Here is a 12825-nt window from a genome sequence, read left to right on the forward strand (position 1 = left end):
AATAAATACACACAAAATACACATTTCCGTAAATGTGCCTTTGAAACAAATGGCAGGGAACTTAAATCATGAACAAAGCTTTTCAAGGCTATAGCTTTAACATCCTTAAACCTAATACCCATGAACATATCTTTCAGATATATATTTCAGTTTCTGTCCAGGATTTTAAAGTATTTCCCAAGGTGTATCTTCACACCATCAGAATGGTAATTCTCTGTAACGTAATTACATGACTTTGGGGTGTATACACAACGAATTTTAAGAGGAGAAGGCTCCTAAATAGTCACCCCAGATGTACCAAAATCAATGCAGCAATCAATGACATGTCATAAACCATAGTATAGAAGGATTGTCCATCTATTAAAAATCTCAGTTTAACTATTCATCTGGGTATCCATGCACCAAATAAATCAGGAGGAGAATTTCCAAGTGTCCATTCTCTTCAAGGCCCGAAGATGAAGTCCTTGAAACAGGTTACTGTGAAGAGAATCCTTCATACCATTAAACATTTCCTGAATATCTAGCAATCAATGTCCCAGGTACTATGTTAGGTGAGAAGGCTATAAAGACAAAATCAAGAAACTTCTATTTTGGGTGGAAGGAACAGTTAAGTAAATAAACAATTACAGAACCGTTACAGAAATATGAAAGAATGTAAGAACACACAATAGAGGGCTCTAGATCGGGAACCAATTAGGATAAGCTTTTTGGCAGAAGTAACTGTTTGAGATGCCTGATTACATGAGCCAGCAAAGTAAGGATCAATTCCAAAGGAAAATTTTAGTAGTAATCACACTCAAACACCAGCTTTCTCCAGACCAGGTGATCCCTTTCAGTAGGGCTCCTTTGATTACTGAAGGGCAGCTGAAGGACATTTGGGTTGTTGACATGACACCTGAAGGGCATCTGAGTTGTTTTCAGTTCTTGGTTATTATAAATAAAGCCACTATAAAAATGTACATACAACTTTTTGTGTGAACATGTTTTCATTTCTCTGGAGGTAAAAAAGTAAGCTTACTGCAACTTAACTTGGTCCTTGTTTGTGAATGGTGTCATTACAAAAAAAAAAAGTATGTGAAAAGTGCACAGCTTCCTTAAAGGTAAATATTACCACACAATAATCATAACAGCTATTAACTGAATATGCACCCCAAAAAGATGAAGAAGCAAGCAAAAGCAAAGCAAAAATTAGATTAAGATCCAAAGAGAAGTTACTCAATATTTTAACTTAATTGCTCAACAATTATTTACTGAGAACTCACTATGTGCCAGGCACTAGGATAATGCTTGGGTTCACTGCTAGACAAATAAACAAACAAATAAATACGTAATTACACCCTAGGAGAAGAGGCATGAAAGAACAGGGCGCTAATAGGAAAAGACAGGTTTCTGGAGAATAAGACACAGAGTCAGGGAAAACTTTCCCTGTTTCCCTTTTACAAAACTTAAAGAACGAATAGGAGTTAAGAGAAGGTGAGGATAAGGGATGGAAAGACTGTTCTATGCAAAGGGAAAATATAAGAGCTGGAGATATGAATGGGCTCAGGATATTTAAGGGTCTGAAGGGAAGTGTAGCTAGAATACAGATTAACAAGAGAAGAGACTACAAAAGTCAGCAGATCCAGATAAGTCTTGTTAAAGATTTGAGATCTTATTCCCTAACAGCTTGGTTCAACTTAAAGAGTGTCAACTACTTCATATATCTCCAATTATTTTAAGAGAGATGTAGAATTCCAAAGCAGATTTCAGTATCAAATCTATAGTAAGTGTTTCTAACAAACAACACCATTTCCTCTAAGCCTCAAGTGTTACTAATAATATCAGTACCGATGCTTAACCTGAAAATATGACATTTCTTCTTAAGCCCTTTCATTAGTACTGCGTTTTATATATTATTTTATACATACAGTATTTCATCTAATCCCCACAATAAATTGGTCCAATTTTTCTAGCAATTTTATGCTAGAGTCTTGAAATCTTTGACACCTCAAATTGAAAAAAAGTGATATTTTTATTTTAAAATTAAATGAGATTCAGTTCAACAAACATTTACCTCATAGACAAGTTACCAGTTTTCAAAGAGATTTTTTAAATGGATATTGGCCTTTCAAACTTCAAAAAAAAATTTTTTTAATTTCAATTTTTACAGGTACATAGGTGTATATATTAAACTCACTCCTTTTTAAAAACAATTTCCTGTTTCCATGCTGTTTACCTCAGAAAGTCATTTTTAACTAATTCTACCAAAAATAACAATCAAGGAGAAACCTACATTTTTATATTACAGGTTGAGCATCACTAATCTGAATCCCCAAAAATACTCCCAAATCCAAAAATTTTTGAGCACCAACATGATGCCACAAGTGGAAAATTCCACACCTGACCTTATGTGACAGATCAAAGTTAAAATGTAGGTACACAACATATAATTTATACAGGATCCTCCTCTCTTTAGATGCAATTATCATTCCCGTGCATGCCCCAATTCCCCCATGCAGGCATACCCACAAAAGGTTAAAAAAAAAAAATTCACACGTGTACGTGTAAGAAAATGACTGCTTATCAGTAGCATATAAATTCAGTCAAGAGTAATGGTGATGCCAAACAACTACACACTGTCCACGAGTGACTGAAATAGCGACACCTTTGCTTTCTGATGGTTCAAGGTACACAAACTTTGTTTCATGCACAAAATTATTAAAAACATCATATAGGCCGGGCGTGGTGGCTCATGTCTGTAAATCCCAACATTTTGGGAGGCCGAGGCGGGTGGATCACAAAGTCAAGAGTTCAAGACCAGCCTGGCCAACATTGTGAAACCCCATCTCTACTAAAAATACAAAAATTAGCCAGGTGTGGTGGCATGTGCCTGTAATCCCAGCTACTCGGGAGGCTGAGGCAGGAGAATTGCTTGAACCCGGGAAGTAGATGTTGCAGTGAGCTGAGATCACAGCACTGCACTCCAGCCTGGGCAACAGAGCAGGACTCCATCTCAAAAAAAAAAAAAATCATATAAAATTACCTTCAGGCTATGTGTATGAGGTACACATGAAGCGTAAATTAATTTCTTATTTAGACCTGGGACCCATCCCCAAGATACCTCATTAAATACATGCAAATATTCCAAAATTAGAAAAAAGGTGAAATCTGAAACTCTTCTGGTCCCAAGTATCTTGGATGAGGGACACTCAATCTGTATTCTATATAGCACAATCTGGATCTTGATACTGTGTCCATGTCTCGCTTTCTAGTTTCACGCATAAATGCTATCTTTTATCTATTTTGCTTATTACAATTAATTATTTGAGAAAATAAAGGTAAATATAAATACAATCATGAACTCACAGCTCTTCAAAAAAATAAATAAATGTAAAACCACATTATACAACTATTACTGTCTAGCTGACCCATTTTTCCCCCTACTCAGTAACTCTACCTCTCCCTCCCAACACATTAGATATCTTCCTTGAAAATCTGCCTGTTGACATCATCTACAATCAAGAAAGTTTACTTTTATGTAAAAGTGTATCCCTTTTTCACTTGAGGTCAGGAGTTCGAGACCAGCAAGGCCAACATGGTGAAATCTCGTTTCTACTAAAAATATAAAAATTAGCCAGGCATGGTGATGGGCACCTGTAATCCCAGCTACTCGGGAGGCTGAAGCAGGAGAATCGCTTGAACCCGGGAGGTGGAGGTTGTGGTGAGCTGAGATCATACCACTGCACTCCAGCCTGGGTGACAGAGTAAGACTCTGTCTCCAAAAAAAAAAAGGAGTGTATCCCTTTTTTCTCCCAATTCTGCTTGACCGGAATAAAATGATGGCACTTATATGTGGTGCTTAATTAAACAGAAAAAAATGTTCTAAATGACTAAAGTCATTTCAGATCCATTCATTCTGTATCCCCGAACAGACTGGAAACTCAAAGGCAGACACTTTCTGTATGTGCCCCACTACCTAACAAAACATTTTGAATGGAGTGGTTACTCAAATATTACCTCCCTTTTCCCTATAATGGGAAAGGCTGTGCTAGGTACTTTCACATATCCCTCTCATTTCATCCTTATGACGAAAACCTTGCTGCAGAATATTATTATCATTTAACAAGCTCTGAAGAGGAAAAGACTCTTATATAAACAGCATAAAGTAGCTCATTCCAGTGGTACAAGTTCTTCCCTCTACATTTTTCACTTGCTCTCTATTTCTTTGAACCTATAACACCCTACAATATAATGTTTTATTAAGCAATTGGCTGCTTAATATACGTGAAAGCATCTGCAGATTTCACTTGCTCCATATTCAACTCTGAAAGGCAACAGCACTAGGTGACTGGTGCTTACAAAGGCCAAAAGGTGATCTATTCTCAGTGAAGGTGTGTGTGGTGTAGAAGTAAAGTGGAGACCAAGAGGGGAAAAGAACTGTTGTTCAATTATTCAAAACACACTGAAGCATGTTCACTCGGAAAAGAATACCAAAACCACACAAAGGTAAATTCAAATATAAATACAAAAACATTTCTAAAACCTAAAATAGTGAAATTCGTGTCTGAAAATCTATTTTAACACTTTATATTGTAATCAATTCATGCATGGCTTGGTTAATCTTTCTTCCAGCTGCTATGTTATTAAAATACCTTTCTTCACTAATTCTATTCATGTTTTACTATAGCTATTACTTTCCTGCTTAGTATACCTAACAGCCTTCAAACAACTTTGTAAAGTCTATTCTGCAAAATTCTGAGTAAACATTCTAACAAAATAAAATTGAAAAGCCCATTAAACCTAAAAACAGCACTACTAGAGCTTAACAACAAATTAATTTAGAGCGTGAACCACATAAAGAAAAGTTGTTCAAATATCCTATTCTAGAATGTTTTGTTTTGCCGCCCCCCCCCACCCCTTTTTTTTTGAAGGAGAGGCATCCAAATCTGTTTCCCTGTCATTTCTGGCAATCATTTTACATTCTTATGCCATTCACATTTCACAAAAGAGTAAACAAACTCAAAGGGGTTAATAAAAACAGGGAACTAGTAAGTGGCACAGAAGGATTTAAACCTAAGACACAGAACCAGTGTTCTTTTCAGTTGCCTTCCTGCTGAAGGCAGGATGCTGCAGATACTTTCTGATTTAAGGCTACTTATATATATAGCCTTAAATTTGAGTCATTTATTTGGTATCATAACTATCTTTCCAATTACGCATATTTTTATTTGTACATTTGATAGTCTTTGCTTCACTCTTAACCCATGTATGTATTTTTAATTATGATTTTGAATCAAGCATCTCCTGTAGAAGAAATCATTGAATTGTGGAACAAACTAACATGCATTTTTAAAATTTATATAATCCACCTGTAATACATTAAATGTGGAAAACTGTCCATAGCTGTAATAAACTGAAAGAAGTAAATTATTGTGTACAGTGCAGGTGAGGACAGAGTAAAACAGACTCACATTCTTAGTGGTCAAACTGGTGCGAAACTTTGAAAACAATTTGGTAATGTTTATAATGAGTGGTTTAATACATTCCTTCATTTTCACCCAGAAGAGTCAGTGTGGAGATGCTCAGCTAAGGAAATCATCCTACTTTAAATGAAAAAAATCTTATGCATCAAAATATTCATCAAAATATTAGCACCAAAGCAAGCATACAATAAATATTTACTATTTGAATGAATAAGCAAATGAATGAATGAGTGAACTGCAAATAATAAAAACCTAGAAACAGAATTGGAATGGTTAATAAAATTACAAACATCCAAATTAATATTAATGATAAAAACTTAAAAAATCAGCTATATGATAAGTGGGATTAAAAAAACTGTATAGTACAATCACAAGAATGTTTTTAACCCACAAATATACAAAATACATTTAGAATACACACAAAGTATATAAAAATACACACAAACACATAAAAATTAGGCAAAAGGAGTATACCAATATATTAACATAGAGTAAAGGGCTGACAGTAATTTTTTCTCTTATTTCTTATTTTCTAAATGTTCTATACGGCAGATATATTACCATTAATATTTTTTAAAAAGCTAAAACACATCAATATTATCCATATTTAGCCAATATCAGGAAAAAAAGCAGCTTGCTTTAAATTGCTTATTGTACACAAAGTGCTGGTTTATTTATTCATTTATGTATGTATGTATGTATGTATTTATTTATTTATAAATTTATTTATTTTTAAGACAGAGTCCCACTCTGTTGTCCAGGCTGGACAGGCTGGAGTGCAGTGGCACGATCTTGGCTCACTGCAACTTCCGCCTCCCAGGTTCAGGCAATTCTCCTGCTACAGCTTCCCAAGTAGCTGGGACTACAGGCGCCCACCACCACGCCCAGCTAACTTTTTTGTATTTTTAGTAGAGAAAGGATTTCGCCATGTTGACCCGGCTGGTCTCGAACTCCTGACCTCAAGTGATTTGCCCGCCTCGGCCTCCCGAGGCAGGCAAATTACAGTGCTAGGATTACAGGTGTGAGCCACCGCATCCGGCCTACAAATTGCCTATTGTACTGATTCTACATAAATTATCTCAGTAAATCTCTTTACATCCATGCATAAATTTTTTAATGTACTTCATTAATATATAAATACAGATTATAATAACTCTATCTCCCCTCACTCAAAAGGTCTCTTAGGTATATTAGTAAGAGAAAGAGGCAGGTGGGAAAGGTACAGCTGTCATCTACAAGAAAGACCCTGTGAAAAAGATTATAAGAAAATTAAAATGTCTTTTGATATATTTTCCAATCACCCTAAGATTATTAAGAACAGGCAGACTCTGTCCTTCTTTTAGCTCTACTAAAACTCATCTGCTCATGATTTCAATTTACAATAAACATATTTTAGCTTTAAAAGACAACTAGAAAGATAAAATGGAACTCTGGAACTTCTTTAAAAATTGGGGGGGAAAAACTTCTGAGTGTCCTAAGAGATTTAGCCTATACTAAAATATCATCAAGGTTAAAAAATATAAAAGTTAAACAAAATAAAAATTAAAGATCAAGTGGGATATTTTCTTGGGAGGGAATGAAAATTAAGAACTTGATAAACAGAGCAAGTGCCTACAAAGATGAAAGTTCACTCTACAATTGCCTACTTTCACTATCTGGGCTTAACCTAACTTTATTACTGTTTATAAAAATAAATCTGTTCAGGCATGGTGGCTCACGCCTGTAATCCCAGTGCTTTGGGAGGCCAAGGCAGGAGGATCACTTGAGGCCAGCAGTTCAAGACCTGCCTGAGCAACACAGCAAGACTCCACCTCTACAAAAAATGTAAAAATTAGCCGGGGTGGTAGTGTGTGCCAGTAGTCCCAGCTACTCGGGAGGCTGAGGCAGGAGTGTTGCTTGAGCCAAGGAGTTCAAGATTATATTGAATTATGATCCTGCTGCTGTACTCCAGGTTGGGAGACAAAGCAAGACCTAGCCTCTATATATTAATCTATGTATCTATGTTTCTTTAAAAATTGGAAGACTGCTATACTGTATTCTGTGGTATATAATAGTGGTTCACAGTACTTTTAATGGAGTGACCTCCATTATTAGCCTAAGGAAAAATCAGACGGCTTGCTACATACACTAAATTTCTGAAGAACAGATTTCTTCATAAGAATGGGTATCTGGGGTTGAAAACGTTTAGTTAGGATACTAACTAACAATTGATCTTTCCCATATAAGGCTTTCTTTAAACAATGTTAACTCTTACAGTGTCTTCCACAGTAATTAAAGAGTAGAATCCTTTCTGAAAATTCATTTCTATTTAAAACAGGGCGAGGATCCAAAGCACTGTATTTAATTATTTCAGATCTTCAAAGAACACACTGTTTGTAGTAGTGGAAGCATCTATGATAACTACCATACCTAAACTAGACTCTAGCTTTAATTTTATTCCAAAATAGGAAAAGAGCAGTTAATAATAGAAGACCCAAATGCCTTTGAATTTTTTGCTGAAACTAGGAACTGCTTTTCTTGTAGTCTTTTCATTTTTTATCTCCCTGTCATCCACAGTCCTTTAAAACATAGAAGTTCTAAACTTGGAATCAGATTATCCAATAAAAACAAACAAGATTTCAGTAATGGAAGAAATGACTTAATATGAAAGCAGAAGCTAGGAGAAAAGCAGGTATATAATCTAATATAGTTAAATTGAAAATGAAACAGAAGCATTTAATAAGGCTTTTACACAATGTCTTCTGATATAGGAACATTTTAAAGAAGTTAATGGAAATATAAAATACTAACAGAAGACCTGTGACCAGCTAGTTTGGTGTTAGATTTTAGTCATTATATGTTAACAGTGTTCAGATAAAGTTATTTAAAATCAAAGGCTGATTAAATAACCATATGCCTACAGGATTCTCAATTTCTTGTTATATACCACCCATGATTATCAACAGTGAGCCCTGGAGCAACAGAACACATTAGCTGGCAAGAGTAAGACCTTGGTGTACCCTGGATGCATCCAGGAAGTTTCTGGAACACCCCATTGGGGTAGCTTTAGGAGATAACTGACCTACCAGATTTGTTGTGGCCTATCAATTGTCCTATAATTAAGACCCAGGTATTCTTAAGGATACCATGAGGATGGAACCTGGTGATTCAAGTAGTCCAGAGGCACTATGGCATAGCGTTTGTGAGAACACTGTTCAGTCAAACTTCTCAGGTTCAACTCCCAGCCCTGTAATTTATAAGCTTTGTTGTGACCCTACAGTCACATCTGTACCTCATTTTCTTCACAGGTCTAATGGAATAATAAAATGAATAATACCTCATATGATTAATGTGATAATGTAACCGCCTAAGGCATGTCTGTTATATCCTTAAATACTATTATATAAGTGTTTACTATTTACTATTCCAACCAAATAGTTCCCTCTGAAGTCTCAAAGATGTTAATTCCCAAATAGATCCTTCTGAAGACTCAGATATTAATTCCCACAACTGTTACTAGAATCTGTTACAGTATGAACTTAAAAGTTCTGCACCCCGGCTGGGCATGGTGGCTCACGTCTGTAATCCCAGCACTTTGGGAGGCCAAGGTGAGCAGATCTCGAGGTCAAGAGATGGAGACCATCCTCACCAACACAGTGAAACCCCGTCTCTACTAAAAATACAAAAATTAGCTGGGTGTGGTGGTGGGTGCCTGTAGTCCCAGCTACTCAGGAGGCTGAGGCAGGAGAATCGTTGAACCCGGGAGGTGGAGGCTGCACTGAGCCGAGATCACGCTACTGTACTCCAGCCTGGTGACAGAACTCCGTCTTAAAAAAAAAAAAAAAAAAATTATGCATCCCAACTACAGCCTCTGCTTAATGTCATATTGCTTTGTTGTTGTTGTTGTTGTTGTTGTTGACGATGTTTTGAGACACAGTCTCACTCTGTCGCCCAGGCATCATATCCGGCTAATTTTTGTATTTTTGTAGAGAGAGAGTTTCACCATCTTGGCCAGGCTGTTTTAACTCCTGACCTCCGGTGATCCGCCCGCCTTAGCCTCCCAAAGTGCTGGGATTACAGGCCTGAGCCACCCCGCCCAGCCTGTCATATTATTTTTATAATAAAAAAGGGGAGGAATCATTTTGTAAACTGACAACAAATAACATTTATCATTTGGATGCGGATAAAGAAGAAAGCAGTTTACTGGATGAGAAAAGAGCCAATCTGAATTAGTCTAAAAGACCTAATTCAAACATAATGGGATGGGATAACTACAATATCTAATTAAAATGAACCTTAAAACCAGGCACAGTGGCTCATGCCTGTAATCCCAGCACTTTAGGAGGATGAGGTGGGAGGATCACCTGAGGTCAGGACTTCGAAACCAGCCTGGCCAACATGGAGAAACCTTGTCTCCACTAAAAATACAAAAATTAGCGGGGCTTGGTGCTAGGCGCTTGTAATCCCAGCTACTCGGGAGGCTGAGGCACAAGAATTGCTTGAACCTGGGAGGTGGGAGGTTGCAGTGAGCCGAGACGGCGCCACTGCCTGGGCAACAGAGCACGACTCCGTCAAATAAATAAATAAATAAATAAATAAATAGAACCTTAAAAAGTATACTTCAAAGTATAATCCCCATGACTTTATTCTTAAAAAAAAAAACTTTTCCAATCTTATAAGAGCTATGTAAAATTAAAATGTTTTAAATCTAGTTTATTCTACTATGATTTCACTCCTTAAAGTTAATGCATTATTCGAACATGCATGTATATATGTAAACAAACACACATAAACACATCTAATTTCAAAGGCTAGTCATAACACAAAGATGAATACTAACAGTTCAAATCATTTAGTAATTTACTAGTTTAGTGTTAAGTATATGTAGCTATTAAAATACAGAATATAGCTAGTGGCTAAAAAAGTTAGTATTACTGATTTGAAAAGGGAAAGTGGAAAGTAAAAAGCCCTAACTTCTTAATTTCTAACACAAATCACTTGAAACTTAAGCACAGAATTCTGAAGATCAATATAAATCACTGACCAAAAAACCCCCATAACTTCTTCAGTAAATAGAACACTTACAGCATCAAACAAAATCAGAGAGAATGGAAGGGATATTTTTATCTCTACGGTGAACTACTGAAATAGGTTGCTAGCAGCCATGTCCTAACCTATTTACCCCTACTACCAAATTAATCTTTCTGCAGTAGCCCTTAGTTCATTTAATCTACTGTTAGAAATTCACAATTTATGAATTAAGTTTACACTTTCAGGCTTGCTACAATCCATCCTCCCACTCTTTTTTCAGACACCTTTTCTCCATTTCCTAAAACCAACAACCCTCCAGGCGCAACACCCTGAGATTCCATTTCTATCACTCGGCTTCAGCTCCTTCCTCAGCCTCTCTCCTCTTCAGTGCATTTTATCCTAAGCGAACTAACACAGGAACAGCAAACCAAATACTGCATGTTCTCATAAGTGGAAGCTAAACAACAAAAACACATGGATACAAATAGGGCAACAACAGACACTGGGGCCTACCTGAGGGTGGAGGGTGGGAGAAGGGAGAAGATCAGAAAAAATACCATTGAGTACTAGCTTATTACCTGGGTGACAAAATAATCTGTACACCAAACCCCCATGACACGCAGTTTAACTATATAACAAACCTGCTCATGTACCCTGAAACCTGAAATAAAAGGTTTTTTTTTAAGACTTAAAAATTCTAGCAAAATATCTGTTTTACCTTGTTTAATGGAGCATCTCCCAAACATATCATAATTTTTTTTTTTTACTTAGCATGCCTTTTAACATCTTGTAAAGCACCAGCTTTCGACTGAAAAGCCATCTGAGAAAGAGCTCTTGCCTCTACTCCCGTATCAGCCTCTGGAACTGGCCTCCAGGCACAACTCTCCTCTCCACCTCCGATTCCCCCCACCCAATCTGTTCTACAGCCAGCAGCCGTCTCTTAAAAATGCAAATCTGATTAGCACTAAAGCAATTAAAACACTTTAATGCATTTCTAGGGTTCTAGTGTGAAAATGAGCTTATCAAGGTCTCCTGGATCCTCCTAGATCTGACCTCAACCTATCTCTATACTGTTTGCTATACCATTCTTCTCACCCCCTGTGCTCCAGTCACACTGGCCTTCTAGTTCCTCTGCTGAGCATGCTTTCTCCAAAGGGCTTTGCTCTGACCAGAACCTATTTCTCCACCTTTCACCAAGAATCTATCTCTCCACCCTCGACCATCAACTCTTTACCAAGTTACAACTACTGGTCTTTCAGTTCTCACTTCAATCATGACTTTCACAGACTCCATCCAAACTCTCAAAACCTTCTGTTCTTGTATAACACTTTATATTTTTCCTTCAAAATACTTAATACAACTTGCATTGATACATTTAATGAGAAGAGGGTCTTGTTTTGCTAATCTCTGTATTCCTTAGCTCCCAGTATTATGACCGGCACACACAAGGCAGGCAAACATTTTTTAAATTAATGAAACACTGCCAGGCATGGTGACTCACACTGGTAATCCCCACACTTTGGAAGGCCAAGGCGGGAGGATCGCTTGAGCCCAGGAGTTCAAGAACAGCCTGGGCAACATAGCGAGACCCCCAACTACAAAAAAATAAAAAACAGTTAGCTGGGCATGATAGCATGCACCTGCAGTCCCAACTACTCAGGTGGCTGAGGTGGGAGGATTGCTTGAGCTCAGGAGGTCAAGGCTGCAGTGAGCCGTGATTGTGCCATTGCACTCTAGCCTGGGTGACAGAGGAAAGCCTGATTTAAAAAAAAAAAAAAAAGAAGAAATAAAATTAATGAATCTCTGATAATATAATTATCACCTAATCATAATAAGAGAATCCCTATCAACTATAAACATTTTTATAACCAATCACTTTAACAAAAACCTTCAACAATCTCCTGTGGAATTTTAGCTTTAAAATGTATGTTAATCCATAGAGTACGTTTCCATTGCTACTGCATAAGTACAACCAAGCAAGAGATAAACAAATTTTAAATATATTTGAATACATTAGAAATCTCACATACTTCTTACACTAGCAGTGTATGAGAATTCTCGTTTCTCCACATCCCTTCTCAGCATTTGATATCATCAGTCTTTTGTAATTTTAGCCATTCCAGTGGTATGTGCTGATATCTATTGTGCTCTTAATTTGCATTTCTCTGGTGAATGAGATTGAATAACTTTTTGTATGTTTATTACCAATAGAATATTTTCTTTTGTGATGCATCTGTGTATTTTGTTGTTTAAAACACACATGTGCACACGCATATGCACACACAATCTTTTCCTTTATGGGTAATAATCTTTTTGTGTCCTGTTTAAAAATCTTTTCCCTACCCGAAGGTTA

The 12825-nt window shown here is 36.8% G+C and overlaps 1 protein-coding gene across 5 annotated transcripts in view; it reads right to left on the reverse strand.

Annotated features, from left to right (window-relative positions):
- The window catches only part of PPP1R12A (protein phosphatase 1 regulatory subunit 12A), a 161898-nt gene that overhangs the window by 126894 nt on the left and 22179 nt on the right, over nt 1–12825 (reverse strand). The gene's annotated exons all lie outside the window — the stretch shown is intronic.

Source organism: Homo sapiens, chromosome 12, assembly GCF_000001405.40.
Source record: "Homo sapiens chromosome 12, GRCh38.p14 Primary Assembly".
NCBI classification, from domain to species: Eukaryota; Metazoa; Chordata; class Mammalia; order Primates; family Hominidae; genus Homo; species Homo sapiens.